Source organism: Homo sapiens, chromosome 1 (assembly GCF_000001405.40).
Source record: "Homo sapiens chromosome 1, GRCh38.p14 Primary Assembly".
NCBI lineage: Eukaryota > Metazoa > Chordata > Mammalia > Primates > Hominidae > Homo > Homo sapiens.
The window spans coordinates 161,892,326-161,914,934 of NC_000001.11; the positions used below are offsets into that span (position 1 = coordinate 161,892,326).

A 22,609-nucleotide genomic window follows, 5' to 3' on the forward strand; every position below is an offset into this window, starting at 1 on the left:
TAATGTATTTTAATTATTCTAAACAAATGGACATCTACTTCCCTTAGAATGAAAAGAGGAATCTGTGGAAAATGACTTCCTTCCATAATCTTCTATCATCTCAGGATCTTCATTTCTTTTTACACAATTTAGAATTCCTTCTGTATATCCGTTTGTCTCTTTAAGTCTCTGCTAAATCCATCAAGCTGTGTATCCTGTAATACTTTTTCCCCCAGTTGATTTTCATTGCCCTTTCTTTTTGTCTCTTAGATATTTCTTAAAGTCCCTCATTAGCATTTCCCTCTCAGGTTATACAGGTCATTCTTTTTTTTTTTTTTTTTTTGAGATGGAGTCGCGCTCTGTCATCCAGGCTGGAGTGTGGAGTGCAGTGGCGTGATCTCAGCTCACTGCAGCCTCTGCCTCCCAGGTTCAAGAGATTCTCCTGCCTCAGCCTTCCTTAGTACCTGGGACTACAGGCGCATGCCACCACACCCAGCTAATTTTTGTATTTTTAGTAGAGACGGGGTTTCGCCATGTTGGCCAGGCTGGTCTCGAACTCCTGACCTCAGGTGATCCACCCGCCTTGGCCTCCCAAAGTGCTGGGATTACAGGCGTGAGCCACCGCGCCTGGCGGGTCATTCTTTAAAGACCCTAAAATGTGGCTTTGTGTTCTTTTGCTACGTCGTTGAGGGGAAGCCATTGTCTTCTCAACAGTAAGCTATATGGTTGGTATTTTTAAAGTTCAGCATTTCCAGATTTCATTTGCAGGTAAGATAAATTACTGCACTGTGAGTCTATTCTAACCTATGTAGATTAGAAAAATCATACACTGGTTTAGCGGAAACTTTATTTTCTTTCTTTCTTTCTTTCTTTTTTTTTGAGATGGAGTTTCGCTCTTGTTGACCAGGCTGGAGTGCAGTGGTGCGATCTCGACTCACTGCAGCCTCCACCTCCCAGGTTCAAGGGATTCTCCTGCCTCAGCCTCCCAAGTAGCTGGGATTACAGGCATGTGACACCATGCCCAGCTAATTTTGTATTTTTAGTAGAGACGGGGTTTCTCCATGTTGGTCAGGCTGGTCTCAAACTCCTGACCTCAGGTGATCCGCCAGCCTCAGCCTCCTAAAGTGCTGGGATTACAGGCGTGAGCCACTGCGCCCCGCCACGGAAACTTTATTTTCAAAGTAAACTCCTGAAAAATGATAACAAGTGAAACTATTCTTTTGTCGACCTTCTGAAAAGCCTGAGTCTTTCAAATCTGTGCTTAAAAAGCAACAACAGCAAAAGGTATTGCCTAATAGAAAGACGTCTTACTTCCTTCCCCTTCAAGTAAAAAGAGTTCTTTTTATTTTCCCTGTAAGGTGTTCTATCTGATTCAGAAAAGTGCTGGGAACCCTAAATCAGTTCATACCATTTGACAGGCTTTAATTGCACACAAGTGTATAATGGACAATGTAAGGGAAGAACAAATGTTGCTTAATTTTTCAACTAATGTTAATCATCTAAGACTTAACATATCTGTTCCTCACATAATATAATCATCTTTTGCTTGTTTCTTTTACTCAAACTGTCAAGCTTTATGACAGATTGAAATAAATTTTCTCCAATCCCTGGCATGCCTTTTACTGAGAAAATATGTCCTTTGTAGTTAAAGATTTCTGGTATATGCATTTTTCACCTTTTTCCAACTCTGTATCAAATTAAGTTGGCTCTGGAATACTTTATAAAGTCCCTACTTCTGCAAAAATTAATCTCTTTGTGATTTTCCCCTTTCTTGCAAATGGTTGGAAAAACTTTTATAATAATAAACTTAGGAACTGGTGTTACAATATGGTATCCAATGTGAATCATTTGCCTGTTATTAGTACTTGTTACTTGAAGCCACGTTTTTGTTCCTTTTAAGATGGCAGCTGAATTGAGCAGGTGTTTTTTTTTTTTTTTTTAAGAAATGGTTTTAAAAACTTATTTTGGAATTAAGTAATTTTAGTTTTAAATTCTAAAACTAAAACATGAAGACCACTAAAATTTGATTGGAAGTTGAAATTAGTAGATCTAATTTTTATGATTGAGTGAAATGTCTTAAACCACATAAATGATGGAGAAGAGTCTTAAAGTTCTTAAACTTCAAACTTCTTAAACGTTTGGGCTTAGTTTTAAAAAATTACTGAATCGTTTATAAATTTTTCTTTGGTTATTAGAGGCAACATTTGTTTTGTAGTCTTTTTTTTTTTTTTTTTTTTTTTTTTTTTTTTTGAGACAGAGTTTCACTCTGTCACCCAGGCTGGAGTGTAGTGGCGTGATCTTGGCTCACTGCATCCTCCACCTACCAGGTTTAAGCAATTCTCTGCCTCAGCCTCCCGAGTAGCTGGGATTACAGGCGCCCACCACTAAGCCGGGCTAATTTTTTTTTTTTTTTTTTTTTGTATTTTTAGCAGAGACGGGGTTTCACCATCTCAGCCAGGCTGACCGGGAACTCTTGACCTCGTGAGCCACCCGCCTTGGCCTCCCAAAGTGCTGGGATTACAGGCGTGAGCTGCTGTGCCTGTCCTATTTTGTAGTCTTTATGAGGTTTACATATTTATATAGAATTCTTACCAAGTAGTCTCAACCATTAATAGATAACTGTGTGATCAATTTAAGTGATTTTTAATTTCAGGCCAGATGCAGTGGCTCATGCCTGTAATCCCAGCACTTTGGGGGGCCAAGGTGGGCAGAACACTTGAAGTCAGTTCAAGAACAGCCTGGCCAACATAGTGAAACCCTGTCTCAAGCAAAAATTACCAAAGTTAGCTGGGCATGGTGGTGTGTACCTGTAGTCCCAGCTACTCTGGAGGCTGAGGTGGGAGAATTGCTTGAACCCAGGAGGCAGAAGTTGTAGTAAGCTGAGATCATGCCACTGCACTCCAGCTTGGCTGACAGAGTGAGAACCTGTGTCAAAAAAATAAATAAATAAAAAGCTTTTTAATTTCAAAAGTACCATCTCAATGGTCAGAAATTTGAAAAGTATAAAAGGAGAAATCACCTATGGTTTACTAGCCTAACAAAATCATTACTATTTGTGTGTGTTTTACTTATTTTAAAGGATGCATATATGTTTTTACATCATTGCAATATAGTATATGCCTACTTTTATAGAGGATAAACATCTGCATTTAAATCCAATCTAATATTATAACTTCGTTTGATAGATATCCCCTGATTCAGATAACAGATACATCCATTCCCCCAAATATTTTTAAGGCTCTGTTTCCTAATTGTGAAAATGATACTTGTCTGAGGCAGGAATTGTGATTAGAGTATGGAACATAGAGATCAAGTAGCTGGGAGGAAATGTGCCTATATGACTGTGAGAATGTCTAGATATTTAGAATAGGGTTTTACTCTGCTTTTAGGTTGGGGCTTCATAATAGCTTTAGCAACATATCTGATCATTTTATTACTCAGTGCTTTTTCCCTCCCCCTAGAGCATTTAATTACCTCTAAAAATATGTACAAGAAAGCATTCATGCCTTATACTGATTAGATGAACTGTTTCAGCTTTCATGATTTGGTATGAGTAGGAGGGAATTCTACTTCCTCTGTCAGCACTTAAACATTTCTGGAAAATGCTGTAGTGCATTGACATCAGGCATTTTTAAAAAATTACTGATCTTTGAGAAAAAATAAAGGACCCAGTGAGTTACAGAAATAGATGCTGGACCATCCCTGTTCTCTGCATTAGAAAACTATACTGCTAACACATAGAAATAACTGCTCACCTTGAACTGAAATTATCCATGGGAAGCCAAATACATCCGTCTATCTATCCATCAATCGATAGATAGATGTATTTGTCTCATTCTGTCGCCCAGGCTGGAGTGCAGTGGCACAATCTCGGCTCACTGCAACCTCTACCTCCCGGTTTCAAGTGATTCTCCCACCTCAGCCTGCCAAGTAGCTGGGACTACAGGTGTGTGCCACAACTTTTGTAATTTTGATAGAAACAGGGTTTCTTCACATTGGCCAGGCTGGTCTTGAACTCCTGACCTCAAGTGATCTGCCTGCCTCGGCCTCCCAAAGTGCTGAAATTACAGGCGTGAGCCACCATGCCCAGCCTCCATATTGGATGATTATACATTTGTATATATTTTTCTTTGCTTGCTTTATTTTGATGAGTCTTCAAGTCAGTAGCAGAATTTTATTAGTGAAGTGTAGTAATCCCAGTTACTCAAATTTAAAATGTTTCACTAGTAAACTGAATTTAACGAATTCTCTTTCATAGAGAATGTTGTGTTATTTTTCCTTATTGGTGAAAACCTAGCTGGTGCAGATGAACAGGAATCGAACCTATTATCAGTAAAATTAGATTCCTTTTACAATTTGGCCATTTATTTTAGCTTTATTATTTAATCTCATTTTTACAAAGTTATGCAATAGTATATTGGAAAAATAATATTGCTTTGAAAGTGTGAAGTATTTAGAATTTCTTAAATAAATATATAGTTTCCAGTTTAGATGTTTGAGATTTAGAGGTGTACTTTTAGCCCCTTGTTTTATAGATGAAGAAATTTAGAATCAGAGATATATATGGCAGCACACAACTCATCTGTGACAAAACAAGGTCTAGAAGTCAAATCATCTTCCATTTCAGGCTAGTGCACTTTTCACTGCACTTTACTATGTTCTAATCAGTAAATAAAATTACATTAGAAGAGAGTTCTTTCAGAAATACGCAAACCAGTAAAATTTCAACAAATTAACATCCCTTTCAAGTTGTGTGTTATTTTTTTCTGCAAAATGTAAGAGAAGTTGAAATGTTTCCAACTCAGAATGGACTATAATATTTTTACTGAATTAAATATTATGTAAAGAGCTGGGCTCGGTGGCACACACCTGTAATCCTAGCACTTTGGGAGGCTGAAGCGGGCGGCTTGCCTGAGCTCAGGAGTTTGAGACCAGCCTGGGCAACACGATGAAACTCCATCTCTACTAAAATACAAAAAGTTAGCCGGGCATGGTGGCATGCACCTGTAGTCCCAGCTACTCACAGGCTGAGGCGGGGGTGGGTGGATCACTTGAGCCTGGGGAAACAGCGATTTCAGTGAGTCAAGGTGCCATTGCACTCCAGCCTGGGAAACAGAGCGAGACCCTGTCTCAAAAAATAAAATAAATAAAAATATTCTACTGGCCAACTCCTCCCCCACCTTCTAACCTTCAGCACCAAAGAACTGCTACATAGATTTGTCATGGCTGCTGCTCCTAAAAAACCTACAGAATAAAAGGGGAAAGAAGAGCTGTAGTTTTCTGTTCGGGAGGAAGCCTGAAAGGGTCATTTCCCAAAAGAAGTTTATCTTTTAGAGCTGGACTGGTCAGTACAGTAGTCACTAGTCTTGAAATGTAGCTAGTCCTAACTGAGATGTGCTGTAAGTGTAAAATACACACTAGATTTTGAAGACTTAGGGTGAAGAAAAAGTAAAATATTTTAATAACGCTTATGTTGCTTACGTGTTGAGTGATAATATTTTGGATACATTAAATAAAGTAGATTATTAAAATTAAATTTATATGTTTCCTTTTACTTTTTTATTTTGTGTGCCCGAAATTTTAAGGTTATATATGTGGCTTGCTTATATGCCTCACAGTATATTTCTATTAAACAACACTGCTCTGGAACTAAGATTTCTAAGGTAACTGAGATGATCCTTGGAGTTGAGCCTAAACCTGCTCTTGTGGTATATTTTGGAGATGTGGGTTTCCATTAAGTATAGATTTTTTTGACTCCTAGTAAATTTTTATTGATTCGTCATCTGGTTCATAATGTACAATTCAGTAAAAGCCATTCAGAGAGAGGCTAAACATTGTAAGCCAAACCTTCTTACAGTGCAACTTGGTCTTGGAACTTAGAATGCTTACAGGAATGGATGGCTAGCATGTGCTTTATGCAAGCCTTTTAAATATCATATCCAGGCTTTTGGTGAGAGACTAGAGTACTAATATTCTGTATTGCTAATTCAGGGCTGCTCCATATGCTTTATAAACCAAATAGAGGGTAGATTTAGCATGAATATTGAGACATTTACCCAGTGTTTTTATCTGGATGAAAGAATAACGTACCTCTGGTGCCTCGAGAGTACCTATAGGCAGTTAGGCTTTTTCTCAAGGAGCAATATTTGAACACTCAATTAAATCCCCATGATTTCATTGAATTCCCATAATATAGTTATATAGTACTCATTGTATTCTGTGTGTGTGTGTTTTTTTTGTTTTTGTTTTTGTTTTTTTTTTGAGACAGAGTCTCACTCTGTCACCCAGGCTGGAGTGCAGTGGTGTGATCTCAGCTCACTGCAACCTCCACCTCCTGGGTTCAAGCAATTCTCCTGCCTTAGCCTCCCAAGTAGCTGGGACTATAGGCGCACGCCACCACGCCCAGCTAATTTTTGTATTTTTAGTAGAGACAGGGTTTTACCACGTTGGCCAGACCGGTCTTGAACTCCTGACCTCAGGTGATCCTCCCACCTCGGCCTCCCAAGGTGCTGGGATTACAGGTGTGAGCCACCGTGCCAGGCCTGTATTCTGTATTTTTATGTATATCCTCACTAAATAAGTTTCTTGAGAATAGTGTAGGGTTTTTTATTCACCCTTTTTCCATTATGGTGTTTTGCATATGGTAAAATTCTAAAGTATTCTGAATTAAATTGAGCTAAACCAAACCTGGATGAAACTAAAGAAAATCGTTTCTCCCCTTTCTTATTAGAGGAGGCACTTTGTTACAACAGAGGATATATGTGGATAAGTGTACCCAGGAATATGTAACAATGTTGAGACATCTACAAATCTGATTCAGAATTAAACAAAGGCCAATGAAGTTTCTACACTGTTTTCTGGCTTCTAATTAAACATTTTTTTCATATCACAATAATATAAATATTTTAAAGTACTCCAGGCAGTTCTCCTTCAGTATTCCCAGGATGTCATTAAGCCTATTCACCCTGCAACAGCTGCAAGTTATTCCAAACATTTGTACTGAATCTTTACACTCTACAAGCCCATTTGAAATCAACTGTGTCACCCTATTAACAGCTTCAGTAATTCTCTATTACTTTTCTAACCAAGAGTTAGGGAGAAATAAGTCTAGTATATCAGAATGAAGAATCCTGAAAATTGCTTTTCAAAACCGATTCTCTGTGGTCACGAACATAATGTTTTTATTTACCCTTCCAGATTTTGGTACTTAAAAAGTTAGTTTCTTAAATGTGTAAAATTTAGATCATTTGATAAATGATTAAAAAGAATTTCCCTTAAGTTTATTAAGTCTTATTTGGTAGTAAATATAAAAGACAAAACATTCCATGTAAAAATTATTTCATACATTTTAAACAGTTTAAATAAAGTAAGTGTAGTCAACTCAAAACTCCACTGCCTTATTCCTCTGGGTCTTGCATATTTATTGGTGGAAATTTTTCTCTGCTATTTTTTTACATTTTACATTGTGGGATAGGCACAGAGTTATTGAACCTATGACCTATATATTCCACAGCTTACTTCAATGCTTCTATTAGGCACCCGTCCAGAGTTGAAGAAACGTCTCAGATCACAGCAGGTTCTCAAAAAATGTCATTTTGTTTAGCTTCATTTCAATATAACATTGATGAGAAAAAAAATCAGTTCCCAGCTGGGACCACTGTCTGTGTGGAATTTTCACGTTTTCTCCATGTGTCTGCACAGGTTTTCTCCAGTTTCCTCCCACATCCTTATAACTTTTGCTTCACAAACATTTATTGACTTAACTTACATCACTACGACCACCATCACTTACTGATTCACCAAAAATTGCATAAATTATCTTACTTGTTTTTATTAGTTTTTATTAAATGTATAGCTCACATTTATTTCAATATTTAATATTAGAAGTGCTTGGGGTCTTTATTTAGAAGTTTGGTGATGTTTTTATAGCCAGAAATATGCTGTAGGAACGTAACTCTCATTTATATCAATTAGGCTATCATAAAACTGGTTTCCTTTATGTCATTTCGCTTAAAGAATTTATGGACGACGTGAGGAATAGTACTCAACTTTTGCTTATAAATAATTAACAGATGGCATGAAAAATAATTAACAGATGACATGAAAAGAGACCTCTTAGGAAGCAATTTTTACGAGCCTGCTGAACTGGGAGTTAACATTTTCAATAAGAAGCCATTAAGTCAAATATAATCTTTTGCATTTAAACTCTACATCATTATATTACTAGAAGTCTAAAAACCAAACAGTATGGTAGGAAGAATAAAATGTTACTTATGAATATAATTTCTGATTATACTTTTAGAAAGAGGATTAAAAGTATTGACAACAAATGAAGTCAGAATAGCTTGATTAAAGTAGTTTATTTAAAGTATCTCCTTAATGTTATAGTGTATGCTAATTATTTGCTTTGCATATGTACACATCATGACATACATTTATGCATTAGCTGAGACATGTTCATTCTGTAAGTTTTGTACAAAACTAATGATCTTCAGTTACACAAGAACATTTAAAAGTTTTACATTTGAAATAGATAATTAAGCAATGCTGTGTGAAACTGAAAAATGAAAACTTTGATTAAAAAAAGTATTTTCAAATATAGGATAGTACATGTATATGAGAATACTTTTTTGGGTATAATCTTAGTAACATCATTATGGTGTTATGTAAACATATGACATATGACATATAAAATTATAGTAGATAGATCACTGTGTTACCCACTTACACATTCTTCTGTCGTATTAAGCAACAAACATTATTCTTATCTATAATAAAGCAGATATTTCTGTCTGTCATACATATGAAATATTTGTATGTATTTATTGGAAGTAATTTTTAAGGCTAGTCTTTTTTTATAATTTCAACTTTTATTTTAGATTTGGGGTAGATGTGCAGATTTGTTACATTGGCATATTGGGTGATGCTGAGGTTTAGGGTATGAATGATCCCATCACCCAATAATGAGTATAGTACCCAACCAGTTAGTTTTTCAACCCTTGAGTAGACATTGCTCCAAAGGAAGATATACAAATGGCCAATAGCACATAAAAATGTGCTCAATATCATTAGCCATTAGTAGAAATAAAAATTAAGAAATGTTTAAAATATTTAATGTTTTATTTGAAAAAAAAAACAATTAAAATTTTAAATAACATTTTTAATGGAAAATAATTATATCTCCCAAAGCAAAAAAAAAAAAAATTAGTGAGAAGAGTAGCACTGTTTTACAGTTTTGCAGATTTTTAATATGTGATTTAATGGAAGATAACAAGATTCTTATATATTTCTGTATTCAGTCTGTTGCAATATATTGTTTTAGTTGAAATATATGAAGAAAATCTACCCTCATGCAGGTAAGTAGTTGCAAAGGGAAGGAGTACTTTAATAGCCTTTTCAAATAATTGTGAATTATTGTTTTGATACTACATAAAAACTCAGCAAGTGGTAATTTCTTTAAAGATTAGTTGCACTATAGAATCTAAAGCCATATCAGTGATACTTTTACCCTCTGTAACATTAAAAATCCATTGATCTATCTTGCAGTTTGAATGGAACTTGTACCCATGCATGATTTTGTAACATCATTCACTGCTCATTTGGAAGATACTGGTTCACTAAGAGTTAGGCAGATCTTCTAAATATGAACATATTTCATTATACAATGTCAAAAAATCACATTCATTAATATCACCACGAATCACATCAAGAAGGTCATACTCATGGTGGTAGATACATGGTTTCCGAAATTCGGATTTTCACTCAAAATCCCAAATTTTATAATTTGCAAATACTGTCAAGTATTTTCTTTGAAATATCAGGCTTACTGCATTTTTAAAAAGTGCTTAATGGGTTACCCTTGCCTGAATAACAATAATTCGCCATTATTTCAAGTAAAAGTGGTATTGAAAAAAGTGGGTTGTTCAGCTTGTAAATCATTCACCCAAGTGCTTTTTCTTGAGATAGCCATTATGCTTCAGTAGGCAGCAAAACAGTTTTTTATGTTCTTGCCCTTTCATCACAGAGAATGTTAATAATTTTTACTGCTTCAACAAGGATATTCTAAACTGAAATTGGCTTTAAAATATTTTATTCATTTATTCATTTGTTGGCTGATTCATTGTTACTGTATGTGGCGGTGAAGAATACAGTGACTGCTAGACTAGCTTGGTGCCACTACATAGATTTATACTAAGGCCTAGCAGTTTGGCTTTGCTTTTTCACCAACAGAGTAAATTTCAACAAAGTGCAAAAAGGCTTGAAAATAGTTTGACCTGAAAGGGTCTTAGAGATTCTTGCCTCCTTAGGGAAAAAACTAGTTAAAAATCTATTATAATAGCTCTCCTTTAGCTAGTTTACATTATAAATCGTTTGTGGTTACCTACTATATGAAAGGTTGTAGTAGATCCTGGGGATTCACCAATGAACAAAACAGATGAAAATGTCTGCTGTTATGGAGCTCATGGAGCTCATTTATAAAGGGTAACGATATATAATAGGTGTTAGAGAGAAAAGTAAAGCAGAGAAAGGAAAGGAGGTGTGTTTGGTGGGAATGTGTGTGTACAATTTAACTAAGGTGGCTAGGAAAGACCTCACTGAGAAATTGACATTTGAATGAAGATCTGAAGTGGGAGCAGGTAAAGGTGTGTGCCTCTACAAAGGCCACAGCTGAGGCCGCCCTTCTTTATCTACCTCTTTTCATCTTTCCAACTTCCAGACCTTTTTTTTCTGCTGATAACTCATACCTTTTAATTAAACTTTAATTTAATTTAATTTAATTTAGTTTCTTCCAACTCTGCTCTCCACCACTTCCTTGCCCCTAGCACACACACAATTAATCAGCACTTACAAAAACAAAAATTTACCTCTTTACAAAAGGTACAGGGATAGAGTAGAGGCTTTGAATACTTGTGCTTCAATTATTTTTCTCCTGTCATCTTTTATATTAAAGGAAATAAAATATAGGGGTGTCTCCTTTTCCTGGTTGAATTGGTAGAGAATATCTATGGCAGTTAGTGCTAATGTTTATAAAAAGGAATAAACACAAGTGAGATCATGATGGAGAGAGACCAAATCAGTAGGGACCAAATTATAAAGAGATTTCATTTCTAGGCTAAAGAGTTTGGATTGGTCATGTGTGCCTGTCATCCTTTATTTCATTCAGTAGTGGAACAATGGCTCTCAACTATGTGGTTGAGGGAATAAACTTAAACAACAAATCTAAATTTCCTATATCAGTTGCATTTAACTGTTGCGTTTCCTCAGGGACTTCACTCTCCTCAAACTTTTTGGTCCCTTTTTTTAAAAAAAAAATTATTGAACACTTATAAGTGTTGAAATACTAACTTGTCTAATCTTTATAAACAATCGGTGCAATAGGTGTTGTTACTGTCCCTATTTTACTAAAGAGAAAATGAGGACACAGATTAAGGAACTTGCTCTATATCCTACAGCTAGAAATTAAGTGATGGAAGCAGAATTCAAACCCAGGCAGTCTAGCTCCAGAGTCCATCCTTTTAATCTCTGTCTGTGCCACTCTGGCCAGTGTTTGTGAATGCAGAGTCCTGGAACTATCTGCATCAGAATCACCAGGGATACTTGTTAATAGTGAAAAATTCTGGCCCACCTCAGACTTACCATGTAAGAAATTGTTTTTCAAGAGTTGAGGAATGTGGGTATTTATATTATAAAATCCTGCAGGTGATTCTGATATGTATCTTTTGTTAAGAACTTCTGTTTTAGAAGGACCTACCATTGGCACTGTTTTTGCTTCTGATCCCAGCTTCCTATGATTAAATGCTTTCTGAAAGATACATAGTTAGTACAGAACTTAATACTATTATACTATTCTATACTATTTTACCCCAGTTTGACTTTTAAGCTGTTACCACCTGAAATTTAAATGAAATCCTTTTTAGAACAATACTTGACCAAACAATTTAAAAATTGTATTTCCTACAAATGCATCATACCTTAAAAATGCACTTTAAAACTGAATGGAAGCCAGGTATGGTGACTCACGCCTGTAATCCCAGCACTTTGGGAGGCTGAAGTGGGTGGATCACCTGAGGTCAGGAGTTCGAGACCAGCCTGGCCAACATAGCGAAGCACTGTCTCTACTAAAAATACAAAAATTAGCTGGGCATGGTGGCGGGTGCATGTAATCCTAGCTACTCAGGAGGCTGAGGCAGAAGAATCACTTGAACCCAGGAGGCAGAGTTTGCAGTGAGCTGAGATTGCGCTACTGTACTCCAGCCTGGGTGACAGAATGAGACTGTATAAAACAAAACAAAACAAAAAAACAAAAAACAAAAAAAACAAAACACACACACACACACACACACAAAACTGAATGGAAACTGAGAACTTACTGTTCTATTTATGATGAAAGAAAACTGGTAGGCTTTAGAAAGTACACCCTATGTGATATGAAAAGTGAACTCTTCTAGATTGTGGAACAGCTTTATATAGTATCATACCTCCATCTTTAACTAGGATTGCAGCTGGCAATAAAGCTCAGCTTCTAATGCGAGCAAGTGTTGAGTTTGGCTATTTTGTTAACCCAAGATCCTGAGAGAAAATTTGTTCACTGATGTACATAAAGCATATTATGGTTAAAATTTCTTATTCCACTTTGTAGTTTGCCTTGTTAAGACTAGTCTTTCCTAAAATGTGCTTTAGGGGCATTTTATAGTCCTCCATATTTCTTTATGTGACGCCAACATCAAAATTGCTTTGAAAAGGATCAAGATCTGGAGTGAAGGCTGGAGGAATAGCTAGACACTGAGGCTCATGCAAGGAGAGTTAACTTTAGAAATATATATTACATGAAACCCCTTTTTTTCTCCCCTTCCAGAAATTTGTAGAATCATTGATATGAAAGAGTTGGCTAGTATATCTCCCTGTGTTCCCTTCCCACCCTGCTGTGCTATCCACACAAACACAAGTGGCATTTGAGGTAACTTTTGAGATTCTGCTGGGTTAAAAAAATATATATTTTTTGTCTCAACCCAATATGTTCCTTTTTTTCAACAAAAAGTATAATGATTCTCCTATATATCTATGTTTAGCTTTTTGCTAGAAGTGTTTCCTAATAACTTTTCTCAGGAAACTTGTTGACTCAATTTACTGTAGTCATAGAGCCTCCTACCTGACCCCCTGTGGTCTGCTTTGGTAACACACCTGTAGGAGGCAATGTAATCTTCAGGAAATTCACTTCCTACCAGTAGTCCTGAGTAAAGTGAATTTTCTAAAATGAAACATCTTGTAAACATTATATATGACAAACTCCCAAATGGTTAAACTCTTTATGCATTTAGTGTTTGATCTTTTTCCTTAAGAAGACTTTTTTTTGGATTGCTGTCCTGTTGGCACTCAACAAATTACAATTGCTAATAAGTTTCAGAGGCCCTAACTTATTTTCCTAAATCATATACTTCCCAGTTTTTGAAAAGGCTCTCTATTATAGCTAACAAAGTTTTGAACTTTGATTAACTCAAGTGTTTTTGTTGTTGTTGTTTTGTTTTTTGTTTTTTGTTTTTTTTTGAGACGGAGTTTCGCCCTGTCGCCCAGGCTGGAGTGCAGTGGCAGCGATCTCGGCTCACTGCAAGCTCAGCCTCCCAGGTTCACGCCATTCTCCTGCCTCAGCCTCCTGAGTAGCTGGGACCACAGGCGCCTGCCACCACGCCTGGCTAATTTTTTTGTATTTTTATTAGAGACGGGGTTTCACCATGTTAGCCATGATGGTCTTGATCTCCTGACCTCATGATCCATCTGCCTCGGCCTCCGAAAGTGCTGGGATTATAGGCGTGAGCCACTGCGCCTGGCCAACTCAAGTTATTGAATGAAGTAATATGAAGCACATGGGCAGAGACTTCCTGGTCCTATACCTGTCCAAGGCATGTAACCAACATTTTGTTTAAGAGCTTTCCCTAGGGAGATCAATCCTGACCTGGTTTAGAAACATTTTTTCCTGAAACTCTCATGAAAAGAGAAGAATGATTTTGGATGCTACTGTCTTATCGGAAAGTATTTACAAGAAACCATTTTGACCAAGAAACTCAAAATTAATTCTGGTTTTTAAAAAGAGAGGCATATATTACTCTTAGATTGAACCTTATGAAATTACTGATATTTGACTCACCAAAATGACAGTTTTTTATGGTCCAACCTAATACTTTTTGGTGTTAATAAAAGGGGAGGCAGGGTTAGTTGGGCAGTTTGTGGGGGACATCCTACAGAGTTTGACATGAAAAGTATATCTTAAATCAAAACTTGAATTTGTACTTATTAGGATTTCAAGCTCATTTTTCCTCTGGTGACCTTGCCAGCATTATCAGATTTGTATTAAGTGTCAAAAGTTTCCTCTTGTCAAAGTGTAAACCTTGGCTCATTCTTGGGCCATCTGTTGTACACTAATAGTTTTGATTTATTCTTCTGGCTGACATGCGTATTAATGGTACAGATGCAAGCTTTATATTTCCTTTTATGGGTCTGTAGTTTTATTGCATACATTAGTGGCACAAATACAGCATTCATATTAGCTATTTATATGAACTATTTCTAGTTTTGGGGTGACTAATATACTTTGCTTATGTTTTTACTATGCTGAGAAGCCCTGTATCGTAGACATTTTAATAGACTTTAAATGATTACATTCTACTTAATTTTACCACCCCTAATTTTGTTTTTTGTAATTTTTATTTTCAGGATATGTCATGATGTATGTCTGTATATTTTTATGATTTCAAATTCCCAAATTGCCATTGCTTTAATGAATGAGCACATTTGGTTTTTGATCAGGAATTACTATAACTACTAGAAAACAACACTAGTGCAAAATGTGAATTTAGATAAATAACTCTGAAAGGCCTACTTCTAGTTGATGCTTTGGCTCTGATTTTTGAGGGTTAATATGTTCTTCAACTTCTTTGACAGCTTGAAAGTTATGAAATAGAGTGATAGAAAACAAAAGCTCTCTAGGACAGGGACATAGGTTAGAGAAAATTTAATACAAAGCTGTTTTTGAAATAAGGCTAGGTGCTATTTTTATTTTTGATCTGCTTTTAACAGTTTCCTATATTGGAAAACCAAACCCATCTCTGGAATCCAGTGGATATGGGCCAAATATAAAATGTTAAGAGGCTGGTGTTACTATTGGTCTGCTATGCAAAACTTTTTCCCTAATAGAGGTCTGTGTTGATCTGTGTGAAAGCTGCTCAGTGTCACAAGTGCAGCCTGAGTTTCATTCATTTCTAGGGGAAATTATGATAGAAATAACATTCCTTTCTATTAAAGATAAAGGGCTCCAACCTTGAGCCAGAGTTTTCTAATACAGTAGAAGCCATCTTATCTATATAGTGGGTACTAGTAGATAGTCTGTTAATAAACAATACTGGCTAAAATAATTTTTTAAAAAGATATGTATCTTTATTTCATTTGATTATATTAATGTGCACTCATTGGCTAGTTTTGTATGCAGGGCCAATTTCTTTTCTTTGAGTCCAAATCCACTCTTCAGAGTTCCATGTTGCCATTCTTGCATAAACTATACTCACAAATCAGCAACCATAATTTCCAGTCTTGGTTACAGTTACTGTATATTGGAATAAGAACTTAAAGGTACTTGTTAAGCAATCTGAGGGCAGACTATTATGATTTTTATGGTTGCTTTGCAAGGAGAGAACATTTTAAAACTTACCTTTATCTTTTTGCTCTCTTTTCACACTATTAGTTTATGTAATATTTTATTACACAATTATACTAATACAATTAATGAAAGTAGTCTTGAAAAAAGACACAACTCAACTAGTCGTGAATGTTCCCTGTGCTATGGGCACCAGTCAGTGAGTTTTATAGGGGGAATGGGAAGGGTCATTTAATCAGTCTGTACTCTACATAGATACGTAGAATCAACATTTGATAACTCTCAGTAGGGCCTGAATTTTATTGTGAGTTACCATAATTAATTTCAGTGGAGCAAAATGTGGTCCTTTTCTTTTGATAAGCCAGTCTCCAATGCTTTTGTTTTCTTAAAAAGACAAGAAACGTAACTTTGAAGGCTGTGTTATACACTAATATTCTGTTGGTTTCTAACAAATTGCTTGGAAGAGGGAATTGGGAGAACTATATGAAAGTAGCATATTTTCTCATGCACAATATTGCACAACATTAGAAAACTGATGCTTTATTTTCATGGTGAAATGTTTTGATGTTTCTCCCCGCCCCCTCCCCTCCATGTTTCTCTAACTTTTTCTGGGAATAAGAGTAACAATACATTGATTATAATATTTGTCCACATGATTTCATTCCAGAGGAAATCCTATAGTATCTAAGCCCTACGGAAAGCCTCATAAAGACATTTCAGGAGTCCATTCGAAGATGTCTTAAAATTAATGACATTGTTTTGAGTGACAGTGCCGAAATATATTTCTTTCTATGGCAACATTCTTATTCTACTATCCTTTTTATTTTTAAGTAGTTTCATTTTTGTCACTGTTGGGTTATTTTAAACAATTTAATTGGAGGGAAAGAAATACAAATTCATCAAATTTTACCTCCAGAATTGAATTTCCTTCACTAGTTCCTTAATAAGTATTTAAGTAAAAGGGGGTGCAATATCAAGAAGACTAAATTATAAATATGGTTTCTATGCTGTTAAAAAATAACAGTCCTGTCCTTAATTAACCATTATGGAGATTCCTCTTGACCAAATACCTTTAGAACTGTTTCACAGATTTATAATTTAACTAGTAATTTGGTTTAGGTTTAGGTTTAAGTGACAGAAAATCCAAAATAATAGTGGCTTAGATAAATTATAAGTTTATTTCTGTCTCATGTATAAGTTTCAGAGATCTAATGATAGCTACTTAATCATCGGGATCCCTGTCTCCTTCTGTCTTCTTGCTCCATAATCCTCAACTTGCAGCTTCTGTCTCATGGAACAAAGACGGCTACTCCAGCTCTGGCAGTCATATCTGCCTTCTAGCTAGCAAGAAGGAGAAAGGGAAGGAGGAGGGAAGCCTTCCACCATTACCACCTTGAAGAAGTTGCCATTTCTTCTTACAGTCCGTTGACCAGACCGTGTAGCCTTATTTGGTTGCAAAGGAGGCTAGGAAATATAGTCTTTATTCTGGGTGGCCTTGTGCCCAACTAAATATCACAAGTCCTGTTGCTATTTTAATGTTACAGAGGAAGGAGAGCATATATTGGGTAAGAAAAAAAAAAAGGCTGTTTCTGCCACAATTCAGTTTCCCCAACAAAATAAAAACTTGGATTTATATTCTTTAAAAGAAAATATCCTCTGTAGCACAGTGCTGAATACATGACAGGACACTGTGCTCAGTAAATTTTTTTTAAGTGAACAGTAAGGGCCGGTCACAGAGGCTCACACCTGTAATCCCAGCACTTTGGGAGGCCGAGGCGGGCAGATCACGAGGTCAGGAGATCAAGACCATCCTGGCTAACATGGTGAAACCCCGTCTCTACTAAAAATACAAAAAATTAGCCGGGCATGGTGGCGGGCGCCTGTAGTCCCAGCTACTCTGCAGGCTGAGGCAGGAGAATGGCATGAACCCGGGAGGCGGAGCTTGCAGTGAATGGAGATCGTGCCACTGCACTCCAGCTTGGGTGACAGAGCAAGACTCCATCTCAAAAAAAAGAAAAGACAGTAAGAGGCCAGTAAATATTTATTGAGTGATTACAGCTCCTTTGTTTCTGAAAATGTGACTCACAGTACTAATGATCTGAAAAAGAGTAAGATGAACACAGAGAGAAAGTAATGATTCAGGATTCATTGTTGTGAGGTTCAAGAAACATTTATTTTGAGGAAGTGGAGGTAAATATTCAATGAAGTTAACTACATTGTCCCAGATATATAGATAAGATAGATAAAATGTATATATTATATAGACACTTATTTTTATTATAAGATATGTACTGTTAGAGTTGGTAGTATACCAGCTTTGGTTCCCTGCAGTCTGATTTTTGGGCCTCTTGGTAAACAAGTACTTAAAAACTGTTACCCCAGTTTGCAAACCTTTAATAATTAGAGACAAGGCAGGTTAACTGTAATAATTCGTATGCATGCAAGATATGATTCTTCTTTTTCATAAATCATACCTAGTTTTTAGCTTTCTGCTGCAAAAGTAACTAGTTTGTTAGAAATTTAGTGAAAAGAAAAAGTAGGAGACATTGTGTTCAGAAGATCATGTTTAAAAACAACAATTAGTATGGCATCTGTATCTTAGCAGGAAACTCAGAATTAAGTCTGAGCCTGACCTTAACCCATGACCAGTGGAATCTAAGTTTGTTTATTTTTACAATAGCCTTAATTTGGGGCTTGCAAGTTTTTTGGTTTGTTTTCACATTCAATTTAGAGACCCTGAAGCAGTATTTTAATGATAGGAATTAAGCTATGTATAACTTTCATGGCTTGAAGATCAGCAAATTCTGTTTTTTCTTGGTTATAATGTTATCTTAATCAGAAATGTGTGATCTTTGTGTCTAACAATGCACTTAAAAAAACAAAACAAAAAATTCCCTTGCTGCAATGCTGGAATTCTAACAGAATTTACTCATCTTCTCTCTCCTCCCCAATTTTTAAAAACATGTTCTCATGGAAATGTTGCCTTGAATTACACAAAATACAAGCAGTTACTGGAAATGTTTTCTACACAGTTCTGTTCATGTATATCAATTTCAATTTGTTTTTCACTTTTTAGATTTTTTTCTTAGTTTTGCTGATAATCACACTTCATAATCATATCAACTTTGAACTTTGAAGTTGTGTTGAATTTTTATTGCTCTCAGCTGTATCAGATCCTACTTTTTGATGAGTTATTTCATATAGTAAGTTTGTTGAATGAATGGTGAAACAATGAACACAGGAACAAGAAAAGAAAGCAAAATGCATCAAACTTAGGTTTAGTTTTATCTCCAGTTTAACCATGCTCCCTTAAATGGAAATGCTAATATACTTCTTTTTTTCTTTTTTCTGTAACAGTTCATATGTTTTTGCTAGGAAGAAGAGGAGTTACTGAAAACAGTAGTTAATATCAAAGTCATAAGTCATTTATAATCAGCCTTAGAATGCCTACAGATGTATATACATTTTTCAAAACACTTATACTCTGCCTTTTCTGAAGCCAAGCTTCTCTTGGCTTATTCTTACTTTTAGTACTTGTGTGCTGGAAATTAGAAACCTCAGATGCCCTGCACAGTGTAGGACTATACAATTGTGCTAGGCATGTATTTATAATTCTTTAACTCTTCTACCAAACTGTGTGCTTTTTAAGGGCAAAAACTGTACAACTTCTTTAGCATGCACCTGTCACTTGCAAATAAATGTCTAATTCTGTGGTCCCTTCAAAGGGAGAAGAGGAGGCTAAGCAGGCAAGGCTCTAGGCCTTGGCCCTGCTTCAGTCAGAATCTTTCTTGTACATGTTGATAATTTCTTTCTTCTACAGATAGAAAATTCCTGGGATAAGAATTTTGATGGGAAAAAGAGTTTATTGCCTTTAAAAAAAAAGTTTGAGAATGACTGTTTAGGGGAGATACTCTCAGTATCTTGTGACATTATCTAGTCTAGCCCCCATCATTTTACAGGACTGGAAACTGAAACACAGAAAGGATACGTAGTCTTGTCCAGATTATACAGCTATTTAGTGGCAGAATTAGAATTAAAATCCCTTGTCTTGACTGCTTGACCAGTATTCTTTATAGTGGTGCTACAGCATATGTGTTGTAAAAACCTAGGAGTTTTCCAAGATCACTGCATAGTGCCTGACAACGGTAGACACTCTGTAAATGTGTATTACATTAATGAATGAATGATTCTAAGCTGGTTTGTAGTTAATTAAGCCAACTTCAAATAAAAACTATAATTTTTCATCATCCCAACGAAATATTGACCTCTTAGAAGCCCTGAATTTGGCCTGTTCTAGGACTAAGCCAATTGTTATATATAACAGATTGTTCTTTGTTAATTTTAGGATCACCTGCTGTTACCAGCTACCACCCATAACAAGACCACAAGACCAAAAATGTCAATTGTGTTACCAGCAATAAACATAAATGGTAAGTTGAAATTCTGATGTATGAACAATATGAGATTTCTTTGTTTAACCAGGATTCTCTTCATTAGTTCAAAGACATTTAAAATGTTCAGTTAAATGAGTATATATCCGTACATTATTTCTGAAACATTTTTCCACTGTTTTATTATTTTTAAGATCCATTATTCTTTTAAAAAAAATTACTACATCCCTAAAAGAAAAAGTAGCTTTCTTTTACTTACAAAATTGGAAAAGCTAGCATCTTGACTGCTCTACAGACTTGCATCTGCGACCCTTCTAGTCATAAATGTAGTGTAAGAAGCCCCTGCTGTGTTCTGACAGTGAATTTGTAAATTAGATTTTTGGAACTCAAAGCAGTTTCCTGTGTTACCTAAATGTTGATATCATCCTAGACCATGCCACAGAAGCCTGTTTATGTTTAATTGATAATACTGATGAGTTTGACACTGATAGTATTACTATTGCATTTTGTTATATTACTAGCCCTGGACATTAAACAAAATACAAATAATAATATAATGCACAGATGTTAAGGCATAATATACCTGCTTATAGTTTAGAAGAAAAAAAAAGACAAGCACAAAAATCACTGTACTCCAAAGAGAAAGTCACGTAAGTAATATGTGAGGTACTAAGAAATCTAGTGAAAAGAGATTACTTTCAGCTTGATTCTTCATGGAGAAGTGAAATAACTCACTCCCATTACCAGTTGTGGATTATAAATGAGCACAGTGTATGTTATTGACTAATTGCTTTCTCTGACACATTATATTGAAAATCGGAGAGTTGGCCATCTTTTTCAAGTTTGTGTATCTCACATAATGTAGGTACTAGTAAATTTTCTGTCTGGTAGCAAAAACCTCAGTATATGAAGAAGATGGAAACGAAAAGCCCTTTGAACTAACCTGCAGTCGAACCAGTTCACATTTTGATTGATAAATATAATTAAACCTTCAAATACAATTATAAAACAAAACACTAGAATTTTGGGGGGATTCCAGATAAGTTTCAATAAAATTTAGTCTTTAGGGGAAAAGTGGTATTCATCATACATTTTAAGACCATAGAGGACCTTAGAATTTCATGATCTGTATATAGACAGCTTATTAGAAATGCTTAGGAAGTAACTTCATAGACATAAACATAAATGGGCTTTTTGTTAAAGCATAAAAATTACAATATTTACTTAGCCTTACAAAGACATTCAGAATAAGTTTAAGAAAAACAGTAACATTGAGAAGAACATCTCTTTCTTCAGTAAAGACATACCTTTGAAGTTACTCATGGAATAATCATTTACTACCTGAAGAAGAATATATTCCAAAGTGCATTTTATTACATTCCAAAGAATGTATTTAGGAAGTCTCACTTATACTCAATCTATAGGTACCTAAGTTTCTCTGCCTAAACTAGAATAGACCAAAGGGTCAGCTTATGCTCAGAAAGGCTATTTTCTAAGCTTTATCAAGGCAGAATTCACTTAATTTTGTTCTTCTGATATTGGGTTCTTATGCAAGAGAATGCCTGGTCTTATTTTGTAACAGTGAGCTATCTTTATATTAAGCCAAAACCAACAAGATGCTGTTTGACTATGTTTATCTTGGCCAGGTGACTGATTTTTGAAGAGGAGCCTTTCATGGATTTGGAAAAATCCAGTCATTAGAGGATCATTGTCTTTTTAATCTGTTTCAGACTCTTTGTAAATAGTCTTTTTAAAAACTTCCCTTTTTAGGATAAGTCCTATTAAAAAATCAAAATTCAAATTCAAGAAATATTGATTGAATATATACCGTGTTTCAAGTACCATGCTACATCCTCAGCCTTTTCTCTTAACAGTCTTGCTCTGAGGATACTTCTTAAATTAGAGCCTGATTTTTTCCCCTTCCTCATGTACCTCAAAGTCTGCAGCAGGGCAGGTGGTATCCTTGCTTCCCACTACAACTTTCAAATTATTTCTCCTTCAGTCCCCTTAACATCTTGCAAATCTGTCACATCACACTTTACTCCTCTAACCCTTATTTGTTGCTGCCGTCTACTCCACCTTCACTGACGACTCCTCCACTGCCTCTGTCATCCTGCTGTCTAACTTCAGCATCCGCATAGAGGAGTCATTAGTACTCTAGCCTTTTTTGATCCAGTCATCTTTTATTCCGCGCCACCTCAGCCTCCCATCCATATGGTCATAATCTAGACCTTATCATCATCAACAGCAGCACTCTCTTTGAAATCTCCTTTTCAGGCATCCCACTCTCTGACTGTTACTTACTCTCTTACTTTAAAACTCACACTCCAACTACTCTCTTAACTTACAAGTCTACAGTCCTTTGACCCTGCCACTTCTTTTCTGTGTCCATCACATCCTTAATGGCCATACATTCCTCCTTACCCAGCTTAAATTCCATGGTCCTGTCACCACTCTCTTGTGAACACCCCTTACTTCCTGGCTCCTTTCTTAGGTCCCACTTTCTTGGAAAAACTGCTTTCTAGGTAAACCCAGCTCTTCTCTCTATGCCTGCTCTCAAGCAGCTGAAAATTGCTAGAAAGTACCGTTCAGT

General features: G+C 35.8%; 1 protein-coding gene across 4 annotated transcripts in view; it reads left to right on the forward strand.

Annotated features, from left to right (window-relative positions):
* ATF6 (activating transcription factor 6) overlaps positions 1 to 22,609 on the forward strand; it is a 197,751-nt gene that overhangs the window by 126,006 nt on the left and 49,136 nt on the right. For all 4 annotated transcript variants that reach the window (NM_001437597.1, XM_011509309.1, NM_007348.4 and 1 more), the window contains exon 15: positions 19,971 to 20,055. In NM_001437597.1, coding sequence (NP_001424526.1) covers positions 19,971 to 20,055 — 85 coding nt within the window. The remainder of the gene's footprint in view (positions 1 to 19,970; positions 20,056 to 22,609) is intronic.